At 34.9% G+C, this 25916-nt stretch overlaps 1 protein-coding gene across 2 annotated transcripts in view; it reads right to left on the bottom strand.

The window, feature by feature from the left end:
* The window catches only part of ZDHHC17 (zDHHC palmitoyltransferase 17), an 89587-nt gene that overhangs the window by 33104 nt on the left and 30567 nt on the right, over positions 1 to 25916 (bottom strand). For both annotated transcript variants that reach the window (NM_015336.4, NM_001359626.1), the window contains exons 2-7: positions 23061 to 23164; positions 15159 to 15281; positions 11478 to 11555; positions 10741 to 10885; positions 5388 to 5452; positions 4579 to 4741 (exon numbers count right to left, since the gene is read on the bottom strand). In NM_015336.4, coding sequence (NP_056151.2) covers positions 4579 to 4741; positions 5388 to 5452; positions 10741 to 10885; positions 11478 to 11555; positions 15159 to 15281; positions 23061 to 23164 — 678 coding nt within the window. The remainder of the gene's footprint in view (positions 1 to 4578; positions 4742 to 5387; positions 5453 to 10740; positions 10886 to 11477; positions 11556 to 15158; positions 15282 to 23060; positions 23165 to 25916) is intronic.

Here is a 25916-nt window from a genome sequence, read left to right as displayed (position 1 = left end):
ATACATTAATGAACAGAGCTCAGTAATTTTATATTCTGTACAAGCTAAAAACTATGCCCTTTGATAATTTTAGAAAGAAAAGATTATAACTGCTTGTGTAGCACTCAGAGATTAACTGTTCCTTCCAAACTCAATTCATCTAAATTTATCAGTATAACCAAAAACATATGCTAAGGATTATTATTTTTTTAATCACAAATGAGATACTACCACAAAAGGGATTACTGGGTAGGCCATAATTGTGTTTTGTTTTTTATTCTTAGTATTCCAAATCATTTGTTTCCCCTGTTGTTGCTTTACAAGAAGAGATTTAAAGCTATTTCATGTAGCTATTATCTAGGGGCTTGGTTCTTAAATTCTTTTGAGTCTTTTCTGATGACAGCCACTTTTCTTCCTCCCAGAAGAATGCTGATACAAGTAACTTTTTTTCAACAATTTCAGGGGTCCATGGACCCACACCTCCTCCAACCAAAGTCTACTGGGGGGACTCCAGATAAAAAAACCTAGGGTATACAGCTATTCCTGATCCTTCCAGAGATGAAAACAGCAATTTTAAAGTTACCTATCATTTAGTATAAATTGTCTTTTTTTTTTTTTTTTTTTTAAGACATAGTTTCACTCTTGTTGCCCAGGCTTGAGTGCAATGGCACGATCTTGGCTCACTGCAACCTCCACCTCTCAGGTTCAAGCAATTCTCCTGCCTCAGCCTCCCGAGTAGCTGGGATTACAGACATGTACCACCACGCCCGGCTAATTTTGTATTTTTAGTAGAGACAGGGTTTCTCCATGTTGAGGCTGGTCTCGAACTCCTGACCTCAGGTGATCCGCCTGCCTCAGCCTCCCAAAGTGCTGGGATTACAGGCATGAGCCACAGTGCCCGGCCTCATTTAGTATAAATTGTCTTTAAAATAAGTTCTATCTTGTTTTGATAAAGGAACGTTTGTTTATACATGAAAAGAACTGAGTAACTAATATGTGAAGGTAAATCTCTAGTTAATATAAAGAAAGATTTCTAAGACACTTAATCATATATAGAAAATAGGTATTTTAGGGAAAGGGGATCTTATAGAATTATTATAACACAAAGCGTAATTTTTCATATTCTTTGAAAAATATAACTTTTTATAGCTATTAAAGCCATAGCCAGATTTGCAGGCTGCATCTTATCGTTACAATCCACTATTATCAACAAGATTCTTTCTTAAGACTTAAAAATGGAAAAAGCATAGGTATAAATAAATTTGGTTAGATTCCTGGACAAATATTCTAGGTATTTTTTTAAAATAAATGTTTCCTTTTCAAAATTGGCAGCAATTTAAGTTTACTTAATTAGCTTAATAGTTCACACGGCTAAGACACCACTTCAAATTAAATATTACCAAACAGAACCAATTCCTATCACCTTCATCCCAAAAAGTCCTTCTTCAGTCTTCACAATCTCAACATATGATATCACAAGACGCTCAGTTACCCAAAACAAAACCTAAGTCATCAACGATGGTTTCTTTTATCCTCACACCTAATCTACCTTCTTATTTCTACTTTAAAATATCCTCTCCAAATCCAGTCATTTCTCTCTACCTCTACTCCTCTGATCCTAGGCTAAGCTAACATTATCACTTGTCTGATTTATTGCAACAGCCTAACTGATCTCCATCTTTTCCATTTTCTTAACTCTTCAATGCATTCTCCATACATCAACCAAAGTAATGTTTAAAAAATATTTAAAACAAAAAGCAGATCATATAATCAGCCTACATAAATCCTTTCAAATGTTTCCCATGACTGAGAATACAATTAAAGCTCTTTATTATCGCATTGCATGATACAGCACCTGTGTTTCTCAAGTGACTTCACCATCTTGCTCACTGTACTCTGGCCACACTGTCCTTATTTCTGCACCTCAAATACTGCAATCTTACTCCTGTTTAGGACCGTGCACTTGCATGTTCCTCTACAAGGAAAATTTTTTCCCACATGTCTCTGTATAACTGATCCCTTCTCATTACGTAATTCTGAAAGCAAATGTCATCTCCTCAGAGGCATTCCCAAATCACTCTCACTGGATGTGGTCCTTCCATCCCAGTCATTCTATCACATTTGCCTTTTATTATTATTCACTTACTGGCTGTTTCCTCAACAGAATGTACATTCTGAAAGAATAGAGACCTTATCTGTCTTGAACAATGTGACTCCCCACCACCCACCATTGAATAAGAATTTGCTGAACGAATAAATACATGGTTTCTATTAGAAGGTGATAAGACTTAAGTATGTTGGGAATGCCTCTGAGGCAGATCCCCATTTTTAAAAAAGGCATTTGATACTCATTTCATCTTTTTAATTACATATAAAGTGCATTTTAAAACAAAAATCTACTTTGTCACCAGTGTAGATACAGGTAATTTTTCCCCTGAAAGTATAAATGTTCCCTGAGCAAATACAATAATTCCTTAGACTTTATTTTCTTTAGAAGTACCATCACTCCAGAAGCTACCAGGGAATTACATGAGAAAAATTTTTTGTCAATAGCCAACCTCTATTACATGTGACAGATAAAGTTAAAACATTAATAAAAAGAAAATAACTGGAAAAAAATGAATTTAAAAGCTCTAAGGTACAATAATTAGCTCAATTATAGACACTGTAGACTCTGGAAAGTATTCGCATGAACTACAATAATAGTTAAGGAAGTTACATTCTATTTCATTGTTTCTTGGCACCAAATAATTCTTGTGCCTGAACCTATAAAACATTAAAAATACAAAGTTCAAAATCATTTAAATAATTTTAAATATCTCTACTCTTATCATTAACTTTCTGTTGAAATTTGCTGTAGATTATTCCTTTTACTAAGAGTAATTTAAAAGTTTACGCAATGGCTAATGAGAAGTACAAGTCTTCATTATTTACTTGAAAAGACATTGAATTTAAAAACATACCTCAAATCCCAATGACTGTGACTGAATTTAACCTAATTTTATATGAACAGAAAATAAACTTTTAAAAGCTCTAAAAATACACACTACTAGTTTCAAACTCCAGAACTGTGTAGTCATCTTACTGTCATAATTCTTTGGTATTACTATAATTTCAGTATACTGATATGGCTATTGGCAGAAGGTCTACAGAGTCTTACTATTTGCCAAACTAAAATTAATCCTGTTTTTTCAATAATACTAAGTATCTTTAAATGTATTCCTCGTGCATGATCACCTTAGGAATGGCTGTCTGGTAGCAAAGATAAAAAAAAGTAGTAACACTCTGAATTCAGATAAAAAAACATGAGGTAATCTCACATAATTTTCTTTTAAGTATATTGATCAGGTTTAGTCAAACTTCTCTTTTCTTAACCTTCAGACCTGGGATCAGCCAATTTACTCATTCCAGTGTTATAAACTTTTAAGAGCATCCTATTTAAAAACATTCAAAAAGCAAACATTTCTCTCTATAATTTCTGAAGTGGCAGAGGTATCCCAGCAGTCATGAAAACTACCTTAGGTAAAACTCAAGACTACATAAATCTTCATTTACTCAGTCAGTAAATACCTAGAGTGCCCATCGCTTATCAGGCACTATGATATGCTGACTTTCTTCTTTCCCTATGTTTAGTGGCAGATATGGAACTATTCTGATCACTTTTGTTAGGGACAAGAAGACTTGAAATTTTTTTAGAAGAAAGAAAAATATACATGATTTTATCAATCTCTTATGGTTTCCAATATTAATTTACTTTTAACTAAATGTTTGTAATTAGACTATTTCTAAAAATTGATAAGCTTAACAAATTATGCTCCATAAAACTAGCCTAAACTATTTTATTTTAGAAGTTTATCCTTCTCCTCTTAAAGTAACTGAATCAAGGAAGAACAAACTATTCCTTGGAACATAAAGAGATACCCTGATCCAGCAGGAGATAACCTACTTTTTGATTGGCCATTTCAGATTAGTATGTGTCCTGAACCCCCTTCATATTTAATTAGCACATATCCCTTAGAAATTTAAGAAACATAACACAGAAAATACTATAAATTATAGCCAAAATTAAAGAACATTTGTCAATGGGTATAGTTACTTATGAATGCATATGATTAAAAGATGATGTTTAAAGTAATTTCGCAGAACGAGTTCGTTGCTGAAAGACATGGTGGATCCTGAGGCTTTAAAAATGAAAAGAAATAACCAAAATTTTGAGACTAGCAATAGAATCTTATTGCATGTATTAATAAAATGTTTACTGATTTCTAAATGTTTAGAGTGCAAATGTTAATTGTGCTTGGCTCTTAAATAATGTTGTAACTTTTCCTGGATTAGTCCACCATGGTGGGGTGGGGGTCCTCCTATCAACACCATAAAGGCATTTATCAAATTTAAATCTCTTGATCTTTAAAAAAATAAGACAATAAAATAACCAAGTCAAAGAATTATTAAAATGTATTATGCATAATGTGGTTTAACTGTAAACCTGTATTGAAGAAGTTTCTTTCAACTCTGACAGTCTATGAAAAACTTGTTTTATTACAGAATTCACATATTAGCCACATTTCATACAGTATTATCAATATAGAATATTTTTACCTTGATATTCTGGGCATCAACATTAGCTCCAGCTTCCAGAAGAAGGCTAATGACTGTGGTATTCCCTGCTAGCACTGCCCAATGCAGAGCAGTGTTTTTGTGATACTTGTCACCAAGGTTAACTGAAACATTGAATGTTAAAAGCAATCTAGTTGGATCCACACTGAAAAGGAAAAAAAAAAAAAACAAACAACAACAACAACCCTAATTTCAATTATAGAAATCATTACAAATACTAAACTGATTATGCTTACAGTAGCATTCCATTTTGGAACACTTCTAACCTACTCAACAACTTTAAAATCAATAATGAGACAATATTCTAATATGAAGTATTAAGTATGTATGACACCATATAAAATAATATATTAATAGTTTCAGGGGATAAGCAACTTGGTCCTGATATTTTCTATTTTTGACCTAGAAATGGCATTAATACTTATACAATTCAAGAATAACACTTTTTAAAATTTAAATTTGGAGTCTTCCAAAAGTGATCTAAGACAACTTACTAATTAATAAATTTGTCAATATGTAAATCACATGAAAAAATTAATTAATTTTTAAAAAAAGATAACTTCTTTTCTTAGATATTGTTAAAAGAGAAACAGATTAAGGAAGCTCTAATCAGTGAGGGAGAGACAGCACAGAGATACCAGAACATCCAAAATGGTAATTTATATATACTATAGTCATAATAAAAACTGTAAATATTAGTGAGTATAGTATTAACTGCTTTTTCCTCTCTCTTACTTCATATTGTATTATGCTGAAATGGCCTAAATAAGTTTTTTATAGTCATTACATACCTATGTGTTCTATATGCTGCCCACATTAAAGGCGTCATTCCATTCTGATCCATCATATCTACATCCTGATAAAGTAAAAAGAAAAAAAGTCAGACAGTTAAATTATAAGTTCCTAACCAAATTTGCTTGGAAAAATCTAATCTATATATAAAAGGAGAAGCGAATATAATACTACTCAATCAAGGATAATGTATGAAACTTTCTTTCTTAACTTTAAAATGAAACTCTTGTCACTATATACTCTAGTGAACATATATCATGCTTTTACATTATTCCCTTTTAAGATGTTTTAATCAGCCTTTCAATGTTTCACATTTAAAATTCTTAACCTATTCTGACCTTTCAACCACAAAGGATAGGTTAAGTGATTAAGTTTCTGAAAAACTTGTTTATACTAATGCATAAGAGAGAACGACAAAACTGTTTATTCCTAGGCATTTCAAAACAAAAAATAAAAAGAACTGACATTTTAATATACTCAGTTTTTACTGTTACACATGTACATTTTTAGAGTTAAATGATTCTGCAGTTTGTGTGGAAAAAGCAACACACTAAAGCAATCCCCCTGCCTTACTTCCCACCATTTTCACCATTTTTTGGCTCATTATTTTTATATTTACCTCCATATCTTTAAATAAGATGTTTGAATTGCTACTTCTTGATTTTTCAGTTTCAGGCATTATTCTGAAATTCCTTGGTACAAAAAATCTGAATTTTTCTCTTTCCTCTCTGCTACATCACAAATGCACGCCTTTCCTATTCTTTCCTCTCAAGAGATCTATTGTAATTCTGGTTCATATAAACATTTAATACTTGATATGTATTATTATAAATATGCATAAATACTATTCCCAGCCAAACCATGTAATAAACCACTATTTTTCCTCTTCTACTCAATTTTTTGCTTTCCCTGGCACCATCTTTCCCCCACTACTACTTAGTTTTTAGCAAATTATAACTAAAACTTCCACCTATTAAACCGAAACTCTTTCCTAGTTATCTAATTCTCCTTGCGCAAGACTTTCTGATGTATCAGGGACTCTTATCAGTTTCAATGCTCTGAAACTACCTTTCCTAACCCACTCCATTCTGAACTGATTATCCTCTATGCCTGAAATGTGTGTCTCATTAACCTGGAGTACTTTGAAAATAAAAATCATCTCAAATCCATCTTCGTATTCTCAGTGCCCAGCAGAGTAGATGATCGAAAACCATTTATTAAAGGAAAAGACATGCTTATCTATCTACTTTTCTAGGCTTGGCTTTAGAATAAGACATGGTTTTGACTTCCTAGCTCCATCATATAATTGCTATGAGATTGTAGGCTAAATTACTTTAATTCTTAGTCTTAGCTTCCTCATTAAAAAATGTGAAATACAAATAACTTCATAAGACTTCTGTGAAGATTAAATAATGTGTGCAAAGCATCTAGTCAACAGCTGAGAACATAATGGATATTCAATAAATATTAAGTTTCTTCTTCTTCTCTACCCCATCTCCCATTCCTGAATTACATTAAGCAAGCAGTTCTAATCCAAGTTGTGTTACCTAATTCACCAATCAGTGGAGAGAGCAGAGAGTTACAGTAAGCACACTGTAAAACACTATCTCTATGCATCAGTTCTCTGTGAGCCACTGTTAGCAATAGGAATATGTCTCAAATGTGAACATTATCTAAGCATATTGAAGAAAAAAAATCTGAGAACCACTACATTAGATAAGTAAAGCATTTCCTTGGATGTCATTAACTTAGTCACTCACCATGCATACTGTCATAGAATGTTATGCCTTATCCATTACAAATCCATTTCTGGATTTACTTTAATAGTGTTGTCAGGAATATCTTCTGCAACCTCACTCAACATTTCCAATATGCAAGTACATTTTTTAAAATAATCCTGTGGCTTAAAAAAAATATGTTTTCTGAAGAAACAACAAACTTCCTTATTTCTTATATGAGAAGTAACTATTGTGACTTCTTTTACTCCTAATTTCCGTAGGACCTCAACCAAATTTCAGGTCTAATTAAAGCAAGCATGTAAATTCTTATGTTTAAGTTTCTCCTTCTTCTTAGTTGTGTTTTCATATCCTTTTTAAAAAATGATAGTATTAAAAATATCAATAAATAAAAAAATGTAAAATCATGGCACATCTCTAGAGTACTAAAAGAAAAATGAAATTCAACCTTTTCTCTCTTTGGGTCGGGATTTAAAACTTGGTACTTCTTTTCCAAGTTCAGCCTGGACGTATGGGTATTCTCTATTAGGAAGAATTAACAAGCCCAGATCAAAAGCTTATGGGAATTCCATGATCAACAGGGCTCCATAACTTAGCATTTTCCCCTTTTTCTCCTGAAAATCATCCAAAAGAATTGGTAGTGAGCACTAAATATATTTAACAATATAACTAAAACAAAACGATTGTGAAGAATAGAATGACAAAACTGAATGGAAATGTTATATACCCTGACAATGTAAAATTGATATAATTAACAACAAAATGGGAAAATGGAAAAAGGTTGAAATGAAAATATGCTGAGAGCCTCATCTATAGTAGCCATGAATCAAAGAAAACTATCTAAAGCTGAAAAATCAAGTAATAAAAATGTAGTAAAAATTTATCAGAACATAGTTAACATTAAGAAAAACAATATTATTGACTACAGTCGATAAAAGAGAAAGGGAAGAAGAAATAAAAATATGCTAATTTTATTACTGCTTATAATTAGGAACTATGTAATCAGAACTAATAAAATTTGAGCAACCATCTGACTGAAGAGAGAGAGAGAAACTGTGTGACTATCTGAGGAAAGAATATACCAGCAGAAGAAACAGCAACCAAAAGGCCCTTAGACAACAGCATGTCAGAGTTGCTGAAAAAGTAGCAAAAAAAAACTAGTGCAGTTAAAGCAGAGTGATGATGGGGAGATGGCAGAAGTGGAGCTCAAAGGTATCCAGGGGTTAAACGGCACAGTGCTCTAGCACAGAGAAAAACTCTGGGCCCTCACAGTATGATGCAATGCACATTGGAAGAGTGTCTTTTACAATATATTAGTGTATACATGTTGAGTATCCTTTATGTAAAATGCTTGGGACCAGAAGTGTTTGAATATGTGTATGTTTTTCCTATGTTGAAATATTTGCATATATGTAATAAAATCTTGAGAATGGGACCAAAATCTAAATGTGGAATTCATTCATCTTTCATATACACCTTATACATACAGCCTGAAGGCAATTTTATTCAATATTTTAAATAATTTTGTACATGAAACAAAGTGTGTGTACAACGAACTATATTGGAAAGCAAAGGTGTCAGGGGTAAAATTTTCCACTTGTGGCATCATGTTGACACTCAAAACGTTTTGGATTTCGCAGCATTCCGGATTTTCAGATTACAGATGCTTAATCTGTACATGGAATAAAATCTCTTAAAATACATACTACATTATTAAAGGAAGTAACCTCAGTCAGCAGATGGCCAAGGGGAGAGGTGAGATTTCATTTTCTAAGTCATATTCTATTATGCCTGAATATTTCATAATAAACATTTATTATCTTTGTGTGCAGAAAAAAAATTTACTCATGGAAAAAAAAAACTATTTCTCAGACATTTATCATCATCATTATCATCATCATGCCCTTTTTGTACCAAAAGCACTGACAGGTAGAAATCCTGCCCTTTGAGAATTTTATAGCCTATATACTATACCAGAGGTTAAAAAGATTAATGAAATAATCCAAACTCCAAAATCAATAAGTTAAAAAAAAGACCATGAAGACTCAAAAATGTACACCACCTTTCTTTCCCAGTTAAAAACTGAAAGTAAAAAAGTGAATGTGTATTGTAGATTTATTCTGCAATATGGAAGGCCACTAAAGACCTTGTGATGTGCTATAGCACCATTTACTGCTTCAACGTTTGTTCTAGAAAAAAACTGCAGAATAACAAGAATAATCTCCTATAGCAGTTGCTCTCCAGATGACCCCCCATAAACCTGGCCTCTTGGTATTCACACCCTTGTGTGGTCCCTTCCCTCCGGGTGGTTATGGCCCTTGTTAACTCACTTTAACTGATAGAATGGAGAAAAAACGTTGCTGTGTCAGTTCAAGACCTAAGACTTAAAAATGCAAAACAGCTTCTACTTTTGTTCTTTTGGGAGCTCTAAGCCAATATGTAAGAAGTCTAGTTCTCCTGCTGGAAAGACCACATGGACTGGTATTGAAAAGTAGAAGTTCTGACACTACATAGAGAAAGAAAGAGGCCTCGCTGCCCCAGCCTCCCAGTTAAGCAGTTTGTAGCCATTCCTATCAAGTCACAAGATATGTGAGCCAATCTTCCAGCTCAGTCAAGCCGCCAGACAACTGCAGCCACCAGCCAAGGAGAAAAACCATCCAGCCAAGCCCACAAAATTGTGAGACGTATTAATTGGTTGGTATTGTTCTTAAGCCATTAGATTTTGGCAGTAGTTTTTTAACACAGTAACAGACAATAACCCCCCCTCCCCTTCCAGCAATTAACTTTATCAGTCTATGCCTCTTTTCCTAAACTATAATGCACAACACAACTGCCACTGCTTGAGACTGCCAACAACAAATACTGTAAAACCTTCATTAAAAGAAATAGTATTCAAATTCTAAATCCGCATAGAATTTTAAATTAACAATAAATACATGTTGATAGCAACAAATTAAATACATATATCTTAAAGTTATTCTTGTGATGAGATCCTTACTTATAAAATTAATGTTCAAATATAACCAGAAAAAACACACTAAAGAAAAACTGGGTGACATTACTTTTAACAAAATACGTTTATTACAAAAACATGATTATATAAACTGGTAATATTTAATGTGATTATGGTCACTGCACACTCAAGAAAAATCAGGAACAACCACTTAAAATATGATGTTTTTCTGACAAGTAAGAAGCAGCATTATCTTATACAGCAGAAACTGATCTTAAAAAATGTATCCCTCTCAAGAGATATTTAATATATAAAATAACCAATAAATAAGTTCAAAAAAGTTTGGATGAATTCAGATGATATATTCAAAATACATAAAGAAAAAATAGATACTTATATTTTCTCTCTTAATTTCTGAGCTTTATCTCCATTACTCTTAGAAATAAAAAACCCAACTTCATCATTATCTGGTTCATGATTTTCATGCTGGCTTTTATGTTAGGTACATTAAATATCTCCATATCAAACTCACTATATTTATGTTCTTCACCCATCAGAAAGTGCTATTTAAATATCAACGGCTTGTTACAACACCAATAATATTAGGCATTTAAACTATGAAGAACATCTGATTAAAATCCATACCACTGAGATTTTTTTTACCTGTCCTTTTGCTATGAGATAAGCAACAATTGAGGTATGTCCGAACTGAGCAGCCAGATGAATACAGCTACATCCTTCTCCATCAATTAATGAAGGATCTGCACCATATTTCATTAGTTGCACAACCATGGATAGATGGCCTTGTCTAAAACATAAAAGAATAAACACTTAGATATATAAAGTTATTTCAAACAGGATCCTCTGGGAAGAGCTTTTTCAAGTAAGGTATGGTGGGAAGATTACGTATGTATTTTGAAAAGTTATTTTAAAATAGATACATGTCAAAATACATTTAGGATTTTATGGTTCTTAGAAGTCTTAACTAGATTAACAGTCTGAAAATGTATGGAAGTACTCATAACTTATTTAAATATATAGTAAATAATTACTATATTCTATTATGTCCATTCTAATATTATCTCAATCATCCCAAGAAATGAGCTAATTCTTTCATTGTAAATATATACAGGCTGCAAAAATATTACGTTTAGAAATCCAAAGTTTAATCCAATCTTATAACTAACTGAATTAATATCAGCATGGCCAGGGAAACTTTGGACAATAAACTTTTGCTTCTTTACAGGTAATATTTCACAATAAAACATCAGCATATTTATGATATTAACTAACGGCATAATAAGCTCTCCTATTCATTTTAGTATATCATTTTTTTAAAGTTGTTTATTTATATACTAATAAAGGAACCAAAGGAAAAAAATCCAGAAGCAAATTTAAACCTTGTGGCCCAGTGCAATGGAGTTGAATTCAGGTCCCCTCCAAGTTGATCCACAATAGCACCTTTCGAAATATAGTATCTATAAGACAAAATTTATAATAATTTAAATAACTTTCATTTTCAATTTTAAGAAATTTTGTGAAAAATATGTAAATACATGTTTTCTATTTCAGATCTCATGCTAGTTTGAACCTTTGAAAATAAATAATCTTTTGTGGTTGTTTAAAAAACATATTTAGCAGAATTTTATATCAAATACCTCTTTTGTTCTAGAATAAGGAAAAGAAAAATAATTTTTAAGTTACAAAAAAAAAAGAATAAAAATGCCAAAAAAATCACGTAAAAAAGAAGGTACTCAAGGAACTACAAAGATTTGAATAGTAGCATATAGAAACTTGAAATTAGAATAGTTGCAGAATAGGCAAGACATGGTCTACCTTGGGTAGCTCAGCTTTTTAAGCCTTACTTTCCTTAAGATTACTGTAGATTAAATCAAATAATATACACATAACATAAAGGTTCTTTACTATGCCTTGTTATTTCTTGTGCCTTTAAAGCCATGTTGCTTGAAAAGGAAATAGCAACTTTAGTATTAGATTAGTAAGCTTAATATTAACATCATAATATCTTTTTTTGAGAGAGGGGGAGAGAGAGAGAAAGATAGCATCTCACTATGTTGCCCAGGCAGGTCTCCAACTCCTGGACTTGAACAATCCTCCTACTTTGGACTCCCAAAGTGCTGGGATTACAGGAGTGAGCGGCCGCACCCTGCTGTCATAGCATCTTGATAGCTTCTGAAGTGAACAAGATCTAGCTGTTCATTATAATGCTTTCTTTGGGAATAATTAACGCAGTGAATCCTGAATATAAATGATTCCAAGGTATATGATATCAAATACTTGACATATGTATACTCTTAAACTGTTCTGATTACTGCTCTAGATCAGTAATGCATTTACTCTTAATGTACATAGCTCTTAACCTGTGATTATTCATGCTTATGTGTTTAATTCAGAAATTTGTGGCTGCAAATAAGTATTTGTTTAAATTGGTGCTTTTAAAGCATTATGCAATGAAGGGCCCAATTCCACTCTATCATGCAAAATGGTTCAAAGTAACCTAACAAAGTATTTCCAGAATATTAAACTATTAATAACGCAAACATTTAATTATTCCTGAATCCATTTTAAAGATACTTGGTAAACATTATATATAATGCTGAAAATGTTCTTTGAGAATGGGTAGGCTAGAACCCAAAGCTCAGCCAAAATAACCACTCTCGTAGGAAATGATATTTTATTAAAAATCGTAACTAGAATTTTTCTAAAGCAATTTCATCCCCTTCTCTATAGTCAACTGTTCCTGAGATTCATTTTTACTGACATATGGCAGAATTTAAATCATCACTAGGTCCATGTCAGTGAGCAATTTCCAAACTGATTCTAAAGCACAACTTTTTTTTCTTCACAAGGAGAGGGAACTTTTCTGCATCCTAAAAAAAGAATAACTTCTATTACTTTTCATTGTAAACTTCTCAGTATTATATTTTTATAACATGTTATTTCGTGTAGCTATAAGACCTTAGCTCAAAACTACAAACTTCTGAGATTGCACAATTCTTAATCTTGAGCCTCTTTGCTCAATATACTGTTAAGAAGGTTTTATCAAACAATGTTATGGCAGGTACTAATGATCCTAGGTTTTCAGAAGGGACCATCAACGAACAACTGATACCAACAAATATTTAGTAAGTACCTGGGCTGTAAACAGAAACAATGGTTGAAAGTCAATATAAATACATTGCAGAAAAATTGTGTTTTCTAGCATATATTCCCGCTGAAAGTCAGTAGTTACTTAGCATCACAAATAAGTGTTTTACTGACATGGAAGCAATCACGCAGCTGACAGTGCTCGAACGCTTTCTTTGTACACCATAATGTTAAATCTTAAGATGCTGCTACTCAAGTTTTTAATAGAATTATAGTTAAAATTCAAACTCTTAAAGTCCAGATTCATTCTTGTGTCCCTAAACTTCATTATATGATGGCAATTTCTGACTTCAGTGTCAGTCCCATGTTGATTTTAACACACAACCATTCTGCATTTGCCAAGAGGTACGTTTAGTGCACCTTTACCCTCAAAGTTTGAGACTCAGGAATTAAATTAGAGAACAGTGAGACACTGCACTGAAAATGTAGCAATTCAGGGTGAATTCTCTTACCTGGCATTAATATCCAACTTGTCTCTACACTCCGTGTGTTGCACTTAACATAGCAAGTAGTTCATTTAGTTCATTTTACATTTGTGTTGGCTAGGCGCAGAGGCAAATGCCTGTAATTCCAGCATTTTGGGAGGCCAGGGTAGTTGAACTGCCTGTGCTCAGGAGTTTGAGACCAGCCTGGGAAACACGGCGAAACCCTGTCTCTACCAAAAATACAAAAAATTCGGGCCAGGCACAGTGGCTCACGCCTGTAATCCCAGCACTTTGGGAAGCCGAGGCGGGTGGATCACCTGAGGGCGGGAGTTCGAGACCAGCCTGATGAACATGGAGAAACCCCATCTCTACTAAAAACATAAAAAAAATTAGCTGGGCATGGTGGCATATGCCTATATTTATATAGGCGCAGGCCTATATTTCATTTTCATTTAAACCCTCTGGTCCTTGAATCACTCTATACGTCATTTACTATTGGCACCCGCCTATAATCCCAACTACTCGGGAGGCTGAGGCAGGAGAATTGCTTGAACCCAGGAGGCAGAGGTTGCGGTGAGCCAAGATTGAGCCATTACACTCCAGCCTGGGCAACGAGAACAAAACCCCATCTCAAAAAAAACAAAAACAAAAACAAAAAAACACAAATTAGTTGGGTGTGGTGGTATTCGCCTGTGCTCCAAGCTACTCGGGAGTATGAGGTGGGAGGATCGCTTGAGCCTGGGAGGCGAGGCTGCAGTGTGCCAAGATTGTACCACTACACTCCAACCTGAGTGAGAGAGTAAGAACCCATCTCAACAACAAAATTTCATGTCTTTCTGTAAATATTTTGTGTCCAAAGTGTCAAAAGACTACTAAACAAGATTTGCTGAGATTTCCTATCATCCTGACTCTTGATTATCTAACTATTTCTTATTAATACTAAACAAACATTAACAGTGATGGATAAAAATCATTTTACACTTAGTATGCAAAGTATTCATCACTTATGCTGGTGTGAACAGTTAAATCAGATTATTATTACCTATTATCATTTCAACTTTCCTTTTGCTGTTTTCTCCACAGAATCCACATTTGGAATGTGAACACCAAGTCAGACTGCCTGAGTTCAGGTCCTGACTCCAACCTTTATTAGCTGTGGGTCACTGGGTAGTATATTTAAACTGTCTGTGCTTCAGTTTTGCCAGCAGTAGGACAGTAACAATTGTTATATTTCATATACGGTTATATTAAGAATTAAGAAGTAAAGAAAACATATATGGAAAAGTACTCAGTACAGTACTTGGCTAATATAAGCATTCAATATAAGTTAAAAGCAATTTTTCTTTTTCAGAAAAACAAGGTACACAGAATCTATCTTCTAAAAGCCATGAATTTTAGAAAGTATTAGTTTTTATAACAATTACTTCTATTAATTTTATAACCATAAAAAGTCAAGTTCTAATAATTAAAAATAGAGAAAATACATACTTGACTAAATCTATTCTGTTATTGATGGCAGCCCAATGGAGGAGGGTAACATTTTCTTTGTCCGGTTGCCGTACATCATAACCTGCTTCCACCAATTCTCGACAGCGTTCATATATTCCATATCTAGAAAAGAAAGAAAATATGGCATTGTTATTATTTAACAAGAAATGTAAAGTTAAAAATAACATTTTGAGATGAAAATAATTCCTCATTTTGATACTAGGAAATTAAAATGTATTTCTCAACATAGAATATTACTTTTAAAATGTCAACATTCCAAAAACTTTTACTAATCCATTTTACAGTTCTAAAATGTCTCACTTATAAGAATGTAAAATCTCACTATATGAAAGAAAAAAGTATACCAGAAATAAAATTTCAATCAGTTGCTTTATTACCACTTATCCCACCAAACTCTTAAGGCAGACTGTAAAAAATACACACATATTAAAAAATATTAAATATATAAAAATCAGTAACAAGATGCATATAAATGATTTAGAAGAGTATCAAGAAGAAAGGATGTTATATAAGCCCCAGTGTGAGAAACACACTCATCAGTCCAAACCCAAAGAATGGACCAAGAGGCACGAGGAAAGGCGAAAGTGAGACTTTCAATAGCAGTCTTGTAATATCAGGTGTCTGGTAGGCAGACACACCCAGGGCAGCTACAGCAGGCAATTTATCTCCTAGCACACAAGTCCCTCCCCCAGCTCCTCACTGGTCGAGTACTATGGGGTTGCAATCTTCCCAGACGCCGCCTAAGTTTTATTATCCCCCTTACCCCGTCCTTTTCCACGCTTAAGTTTTGATTTCACAATAATGAAACTTTCTTCCCTTTTATGGGCTGACCCCTCCTCTACATTCTGTTCACTTATTGTGACCCACTAGGTGCATAAGCCATGTAATTTGTTACATTCGCAGGCTGGCTGCCAGTGCTTAGGTTTATCATGCCTTGAAAATGGACCATTTAAAATGTTTTCTCACAAATTCCCTTCTCTTTTCTATTTACTTCTTTTAGTTTCATTTTCATTTGAACCCTTTTGGTCCTTGAATCACTCTAGAAGTCATTTACTATCTTCCTCATAGGAGAGTGAGTCTAATTTGGTTTTTAATAGTAGCAGGTTATTTTGCTGGTAAGTTATGGGCATTTGTTTATTAATAGCTGTCTTAATTAATCTCTGTGCTAGTCCCCTCACACAAAGGATAATACAACATCCCACTGCTGGTAAGACTTCTGCCACAATTATGAGAGATGTAAGGACTGAAGCTACCATGCCTTTCCATTTTCCAAACCAACCTTTTAGCCAACCTGTAAATGGGTCATCAATTCCAGCATTCTCTGCCAGCTCACTAGCTAGAGTTGTCAAACCTTGTAAAGCTTTTGTGATGATCCTATCTGGGAGAGTATTGTTGGGAATAAAAGTACATTTCCCACCCAGCATCACACATATGCCCCTTTTTTTCTGCTAGTATCATGTCTAGTGCAAGCTGGGTTTTCCAGGCCATTCGGCTGATGGCATTTAACTAGCTAGTCACCCCTTTGAGGGCATCCCAAGTATAACTGATGAATCTGTGGATTATAATAGATGGAGGTAATCCAATTCACATTCTCACTAATAGTTGACCACCAGAAGAGTGCTGATTCAAACCCAGCAGCTATTTGGTTTCGGGCCTTAAATTCATCATGCACCCCCTAGGGACTCCTATCAAGTCAACATATATATAACGGGATTAAAAGAATTTGTCAAATCTCTCTGGTTTTGGTGGCCATCTGTATTTATGGTTATCTTATGGAATACCAGGGTGAAGGGAATGGCCAAATGGACTAAAGCACAAGTCCCGGTCCAACTGGATGGTAACAAGTTACAGAGGTTCCTTCTCCCACAATACCACCAGACATCATCAGCCCAGGGTATATGGAGAGCTGAGTAATTACCATTGCCTCAGCAGATGACGTTTATGATGTGGGTATAAGTCGAGAATTCTCCCACAGGCTTACTGAACTCTGCCCCTTGCCTAGAGAGGCAAGAGGAATGATTCATATTCCCTACAGAGAACGAGGGGATTGCTCTGGGATGTGACCTCCACAATGCGGGAAAGGACAATGACAGACTCTGAACAAAATCATCTAAGACAAAGCCTATTTTATAATAAATATCTCATGTAATTTTTTTTTTCTTTTTTGAGACAGGGTCTCAGTCTGTCACTGAGGCTGGAGTGCAGTGGCACAATCATAGCTTCCTGCAATCTCCACCCCCAGGGCTCAAGCAATCCTCCCACCTCAGCCTCCCTAGTAGCTGGGACCACAGGTGTGCACCACCATGCTTGGCTCTTTTTTTGTACTTTTAGTAGAGATGGAGTTTCACCATATTGCTCAGGCTGGTCTTGAACTCCTGGGCTCAAGCGATCTGCCCACCTCAGCCTTCCCAAGAGCTGGGATTACAGGTGTCAGCCACTGTGCCTGGCCTCATGTAATTTATTGAATACTGTACTGAAAGTAAAAACAAAACAAAAAAAAGAACGGCTGTATGGGTCATACTTGAAGCATGATTTCTACTGAATATGTACCACTTTTGCAGTGGTGGAAAACTCAAATCAATGTAAGCTCGTAGCACCTGCACTCATAAAAAGATAAAATACCTAAAAAGAAACCAGAAAGAAATTCTAGAACTAAAACGTACAATAACTGAAGTCATTATATGGATTCAAAGACAGAAATGAGACAGAAATGTCTTCAAAGACAGAAGAAGGAATCAGCAAACATGAAGACAAAGCAATAGCAATTACTATCAAGTGTGAGGAGCAGAAAGAAAAAAGACCGAAGGAAAGTGAAGACAGTCTAAGGGACCTGTGGGACACCATTAAGTAGAACAACACACACATTGTGGAAGTTCCAGGAAAAGAGAGAGAGAGAAAGGGACAGAGAGAATATTTGAAAAAATAATAGCTGAAAACTTCCTAAATTTGAATATAAACATCAATGAAGTCAACGTAAAAGGAACTCCAAGACACCCACACTGAGACATATTATAATCAAACTTTTGAAAGACAAAGACAGAGAGAACCTTGAAAGGAACGAGAGAGAGGCAACTGGTCACATACAAGGATCCTCAATAAGATTATCAGAAGATTTCTCATCAGAAACTTTGGAGGCCAGAAGGTAACAGGCTGACATATCCAAAGCGCTAAAAGAAAACCAATGCCAACCAAAAATCCTATATTCAGCAAAATTGTCCTTCAAAAGAGGGGAAGAAATTAAGACATTCCCAAATAATGACTGAGAGAATCTGTTACCACTGGACCTGCCCTGCAAGAATTGAACAAAGGAGACCTGCCAGGTGAAATTAAGGGACACTAGACAGTAACTCAAAGGCATATGAAAAAATAAAGATCTCAATAAAAAGTCAATACATGGGCAATTACAAAACCTAGTATGACGTAACAATAATTTGTAACTCCGCTTTTTGTTTTCTACTTGATTTAAGAGACTAATACATTAATTTAAAAATTATTAAGCACTAGTATTATTGTAATTTTGGTCTGTGTGTCTACATATTGTTTCTATATAATTTTAGAGACCAATGCATTTAAAATAATTATTACTTTATGTCTGTTGGAAATACAATGTATACATATGCAGTTCTGTGACATCAACAACTAAAAAGCGTATAGATGAGGCTGTAAAGGAGCACAGTTTATTAAGTTATTGGCATTAATCTGTATAAATTCAGTAACATAAATTCAAATTAGTGTTATAACTTTAGGATTTTTTTTTTCTTTTTTGAGACAGAGTCTTGCTGTGTAGCCCAGGCTGGAGCACAGTGGCGCGATCTCGGCTCACTGCAAGCTCCGCCTCCCAGGTTCACGCCATTCTCCTGCTTCAGCCTCCCGAGTAGCTGGGACTACAGGCACCCACCACCATGCCCGGCTAATTTTTTTGTATTTTCAGTAGAGACGGGGTTTCACCATGTTAGCCAGGATGGTCTCGATCTCCTGACCTTGTGATCCACCCGCCCTGGCCTCCCAAAGTGCTGGGATTACAGGCATGAGCCACCGTGCCCGGCCCAACTTTAGGATGTTAAATGTAATATCCATAGTATCCGCAAAGAAAAGTAGCTATAGGACATACACGAAAGGAATGAGAAACTTAAACATTTCACTACAAAAATTGAACTAAACACACAAAAAAAAAACAGTAATGCAGGAAATGAGAGGGAAAAAAAGCTATATGGCATATAGAAAACAAATGCTGGCCAGGTGCGGTGGCTCTCGCCTGTAATCCCAGCACTTTGGGAGGCCGAGGAGGGTGGATCACGAGGTCAGGAGTTTGAGACCAGCCTGACCAACATGGTGAAACCCCGTCTCTACTAAAAATACAAAAATTAGCTGGGCGTGGTGGTGCATGCCTGAAATCCCAGCTACTTAGGAGGCTGAGGCAGGAGAATTGCTTGAACTCAGTAGGCGGAGATGGCAATGAGCTGAGATTGCGCCATGGCACTCCAGCCTAGGCGATAGAGCAAGACTCTGTCTAAAAAAAAAAAAAAAAAAAAAGAAATGGCAAAATGACAGAAGTCCCTCTTTATTAGTAATTACTTTAAATGTAAATGGATTAAACTCTCCAACCCAAAGACAGTTTGGCAGAACAGACTGGGGTAAAAAAGACCCAACTATACGCTATCTACAACAGACACACTTTAGATCCAAAGGCAAATGAGTGGGAAATTAAAGGATGAAAAAAGAAATTCCATGCAAATAGTAACCAGAGGAGAGCAAGAGTGGCTACACTAATATCAGACAATAAACTTTAAATCAAGAATGGTTACAAAAGACAAAGACATTACATATTAATAAAAGGTTCAATGCAGCAAGAAGATACAACAATTATAAATTAAAAGCATTGAACATTTAACCTAATAACATCATCAAAATATTTGAAGCAAAAATTGACAGAACTGAAGAGAGAAACAGATAGTTCTACAGTAAGAGCTAGAGACTTCAATACCACAACTCTCAATAATGGATGCAAGAACTAGACGTAAGTAAGGAAACACAGAACTTAAGGAAACTGTGGCCAGCCTGGATTCATGTATTTTTAAAAGTGAATTGAACTTATGTATCAAAATGTAGTACTGTGCCTCTTCTTCCCACTGTAAATAATTAACAATTCCTAAGCAAATATCAAGTGGAAAAGGGAAGACTACGAACAAAATAAACGACATTCTGAAGACACAAACTTTGGGGTTTTGTCTGTCTAGTTTCTGTTGTTGCTTTATGTGTAGAAAAAACAAGATTACATGTATCATTCTAATAAAAACCATGTACAGGTTGGGCATCTCTAATTCAAAAATCCAAAACATGAAGTATTCCAAAATCCTAAACTTTTTGAGCACATGATACCACACATGGAAGATACTACACACGACCTCATGTGACAGGTGCATAAAACATAAAAAACATTGTATAAAAGTACCTTCGGGCTATGTGTATATGAAACATAAACAAACATGTTTAGACTTGAGTCCCACCCCAAAGATCTCTCATTGTGTATGTGCAAATATTCCAAAATCCAAAAAAATCCAAAATCCAAAACACTTCTGGTCCCAGGCATTTTGAATAAGGGACTCAACCTGTATTTAGATAAGATAGCCTATTTAAACCTAAAAACAAACAAACCTACAAAAGAAAACAGAAACACAATCTTTATAGCTGTCACTGGATTTCTCTATGTTGTTGCACTCAAAGCTCACGCAAAAGATGAGATCACCTTAAAATCAAATTGTTCAGATCATTTTTAATCTTTTTGGTGATCACAGACCTCTTCAAAAATGCAATGAAAGTCACAGACTCTACCCAGAAACATGCTCCAACACGCAGAATTCTGTATATAATTCCAAGGCATTCAGGGAAGTCTGAAGCTCTTCCTGGAGCCCAGGTAAGAATGTTAAGTAATTCACATGTCCTCAGCAAGTTGTAATAAAGATCACATTATTCTGAAATTTGGTTTGCACTGAGTAGTGTTAAGGTTTCCAGAACTCTACAGAATGGATATTAAGAGACCAAAAGCACACCAAGTCTTTATATTAAGAAAGAGTTATTTCATAATTTCACAAAACAAATAAAAAATATTGTTTTACTTAGTTGACCTACTGGCATAACAGATACCACTTTATGCTTTCTTCTTGAAGTAAATATGCAGATGATCAAAAAGACCAAGAAAAATACACATCCTAAGGAAATATGACTATTAATTCTGTGGGATGCAATGAACTTCAGAGAATTCTTTTTTTGCTTGTTTTTTTTGAGATGGGGTCTCACTCCTTTGCCCAGGCTGGAGTGTATTGGCATGACTATATCTCACTGCAGCCTCGAATTCTCAGGCACAAGCGGTCCTCCCACCTCAGCCTTCCGAGTAGCTGGGACCACAGGAGTGTGCCATCACGCCTGACATGGTTTGGATCTGTGTCCACACCCAAATCTTATGTTCAATTGTAATCCCCAATGTTGGAGATGGGGCCTGGTGAGAGGTGACTGGATCAAGGGGGTGGATCCTTAATGAATGCTTTGGCACCATCCCTTTGGTACTGTTCTTGTCATAGAGTTCTCATGAGATTTGGTTGTTTGGAAATGTGCAATACCTCCTCCCCACTCTCTCTTCCTCATGCTCCAGCCAGGTTCAGATGTACCTGCTTCCCCTTCACCTCCCACCATGATTGTAAAGTTTCCTGAAGACTCCTCAGAAGCAGAAGCCGCTATGCTTCCTGTACAGCCTGCAGAATCATAAGCCAATTAAACCTCTTTTCTTCATAAATTATCCAGTGTCAGGTATTTCTTTATAGCAGTGAGAGAACGGAGTAATACAATGCCCTACTTTTTTTTTTTTTCTTTTTTTGCAGAGACAGGGTCTCATTCTATTGCCCAAGCTGGTCTCAAACTCCTGATCTCAAGTGATGTTCCCACATTGGCCTCCCAAAGTTTTAGGATTACAGGCATGAACTTCCACATCTGTCCAATTTCAGACAATTCTTAAAGCTCAAGAATCTATGAACTAGTTTCTCCTCTTTGCAGATGAAAATAACTGTTGTTATTTCAACTTCCATATACTTTGCATTATAAAAAGTCAGATTTGTCCTTTTCCTTTGCCTATCTCGAAGACTGATAATCTGGTATTTTGACGATATTTTAGAAAACTGTGATATTTCCCTTAGCACGGGTTAAATAAGTAAATATGACATTAACTACGTTTTATTTCTAATCTGTGTACCTGGTTGCGGGCGGGAGAATATTGGATGCACACTGATGGTTTCCATTTAAAGTGCTTTAATTCCAACAATGTTTTCCAACTCACCATAAGTAACCTTAATATTCTCAGGGCCTAATAGTATACTTCTGGAAAGATCAGCAAGTACCAAAAGCAAACAGACCTATTCAATTATCCAATGGGAAATAAACTAAATTTTCGTGTGTGTGTGTGTGTGTGTGTGTGTGTGTGTGTGTGGCAGAGTTTCACTCTTGTTGCCTAGGCTGGAGCACAGTGGCGCAATCTCGGCTCACTGCAACCTCCGCCTCCTGGGTTCAAGCGATTCTCCCGCCTCAGCCTCCCAAATAGCTGGGATTATAGGCATCCACCACCATGCCTGGCTAATTTTTTGTATTTTTAGTAGAGACGGGGTTTCACCATGTCGGCCAGGCTGGTCTCAAACTCCTGACCTCAGGTGATCCACCCTCCTCGGCCTTGCAAAGTACTGAGATTACAGGTGTGAGCCACCGCAACCGGCCCATAAACTAATTTTTTAATTGAGATATACTGATGTTTTTCCCAAAGTAATATGACTGTTATTCAGATTCATATTTCACTTGAAATACACATGCCAAAGAAAACAACTACAACAAAAACCTTACTGTGTAGCCTTGACTATGTCCCATGTGCTGTAATCATCAATATGAGTTTTCCGTCCAAGAGGTTCACCATATCCATGGTTATAATGGCTTTGGGGTTTGATTTCCTGTTAAAAAGAAAATCACACACAGGCAAGAATTGAAAAAAGAGGTACAGAAAATATTTCTATATTTTATAGTAGTGCTTTTGTGTTGTTTGAGAAATGCTAATTACTGAAATAATTAAATTTACCTTATTCTAAAGTCTATACTCTTTTATTTTATTTATTTATTTTTTTGAGATGGAGTCTCACTCTGTCACCCAGGCTGGAGTGCAGTGACGCGATCTCGGCTCCCTACAACCTCTGCCTCCCAGGTTTAAGTGATTCTCCTGTCTAGCCTCCTGAGTAGCTGAGACTATAGGCACGTGCCACCATGCCCAGCTAATTTTTTGCATTTTTAGCTGAGACGGGGTTTCACCATGTTAGCCAGGATGGTCTCCATCTCCTGACCTCGTGATCCGCCCGCCTTGGCCTCCCAAAGTGCTGAGATTACAGGCATAAGCCACCATGCCCGGCCAAGTCTACACTCTTTAGGGAAAAAGCTTGTTCAAAGAGATCTACCCATTTTACACATTCTCAAGCTAAAACAATCTGTAAGATTAGAAACAAGTAACAACTTAGCAACTGAAACTAATCTTCAGCTCCACAGAACTCTCTTACCTCATCATCAGATCAACTCATTCTCTCTGACCAATTTTTCTATTATTCTAGTATGACCCACAGCTCTAACACTCTACTTTAAAACCTTCATCACATGCACTACTCTATTCCTCAGATAAACTCTAAGGCCCTAAAGGAAGGAACCTATGGATATTATTTTTCTATTATTCTCAGATATCACCTTTCCTAAACTTCTTCATGCTCTGAACTACCATTAGATGAATAAGGAATACAGCAGTGCTGATAAAAGGTAAATCTGCTTGAATAGGCCTAAAAATGTTAATATCCTTTTAAAAAGATTTTATATAAAAATCCATATATATAAAATTTAATTTACATAAAAATTTAAATGAGTTTCAAAGAATATTACATCTATTCAAAGTTTACATGCTGTAATTTTCTATTAAAAATACAAAATTTGGTATATATAGTCAATTTCCTCAATATAACATAGCACTAAAATACAATTGTTTCTTTTATATAAAAACTGAAAAACTGAGTTTGTTCAGTTCCAATAACATCTGTTGAAAATGCTGTGTTTCTGATATTTTTGACAAACATATGTGTAAATATAAATAAAAGGATAAATCATAAAAGATTTGGAAAGAAATCCTTAGAACAATATATGCTCTCTTGCCTCTGATAAACCACCTACCACTGATACTTAATCATACCAAGTTGAGAGTATTTTACTAGAGGAAAAAGCTATTTAGCTTACTCTAGCCATTCAAATTTTGTGGAAAGTTCTAAAACTAATTTGTTTGAACCATAAATTTAGAAGACTATCAATCTGAATATTTTCAATGAAAAGGAATTTAAAAGTTTTACACAAGCAAATTCTGCTTAGCATATAATCTTTCAACAAGTAAATGCTTAATTCCTTATGAAAATGCTATAGCCAATGTTAAAATACACTTTAACATTTATAATTATATACCCACATTAGAAGAAAGAAATATACATCATTCTTAAGCCAAGATTCACAATATACTGCAGATAGTTCACTAAATGATTTTTTAAGAGGTTGTTCTCAAACTCCATTAAAATAGAGTAGCTTGAGTAGGTTTAGTATTTTGAGTATACACAATGTTCTGAATAACTGACAAAGCAAGCCAATACATAAGACTTATCCATTTAATTTCTTTAAATCTTTTCTATTTAATTTCTCCACAGAATTCCAGTTTTCAATCTCTCTATGCTCTATATTCAGTGGGGTTAAGGTAAAGTAAAATACTTCTAAGCCAGTAACACTTTCTTATTTCTAAATTTTCTTTTCTGATTCTATTCTCTCCAACCACAAGGAAAATAATTTTTTTAAACTCCAACTTTGACATCTATATGGCTGTAAGATACCTGAAAAAGAATAAAAACTTGATCACATCTTTCAGGGAGAACAGAATAATATACCCAACAAAACATGTATTGAGAGCCTGCTATACATAAAGCTCTCTACAATGTACACTTGGACCCCACCCAGGATAGGGTAAGACATGTGCAACGTTAAAGAGGTTGTCAAAAAACGCAGTAATCAAGATCAACAACAACAAAAACAACAACGTTTTAATGGAATATTTTTAAAACAAAACCAATGCAACAAAACACACACACACACACACACACACCCATGAACCAAACATCAACATTTTAAAACAGAGACAGCATCAGAATCACTAACTCTTCCTTTTGCTTCAGGCTCCACTATAGCTCAGAGCATCACTGTGCATGTATACAAAATATAGCCTGTCATCCTGAAGGACTTCCAATCCAGAATGGAAAGACAAAGTAGAGAAGAAAAATAAGTCAAATATTATAAGCAAGAGCCTTCCAATAATAAGTAAAAACACAGATGAGGGCAACATAATATCCAAAAGGTAATAACATAACTTGAAAAAACTTTGAAAATGTGCTACGGCAAAATGCTATTCTTTTTTACTATGGACAAATACATTGCTTTTACATACCAATAATATTCATAGAATAAAAATAAGTCTCTTTCTGAGGATTACTATCATAAAGTTTTCAAGAAACTTTAATTTTATTTTCATGCCCAGAGACCTCATTTACTGTACATAATGATTAAATTGTATTCTCAGTTTGTTTCACTGACATTGCCAAATGCGAGCTTAAAAATGTTACTGGAAATTAGACTTTTTTTTTC

The sequence above is a fragment of the Homo sapiens genome, chromosome 12 (assembly GCF_000001405.40).
Source record: "Homo sapiens chromosome 12, GRCh38.p14 Primary Assembly".
In the NCBI taxonomy this organism is placed as follows: Eukaryota; Metazoa; Chordata; class Mammalia; order Primates; family Hominidae; genus Homo; species Homo sapiens.
This window is presented reverse-complemented; position numbering and strand designations above follow the sequence as displayed.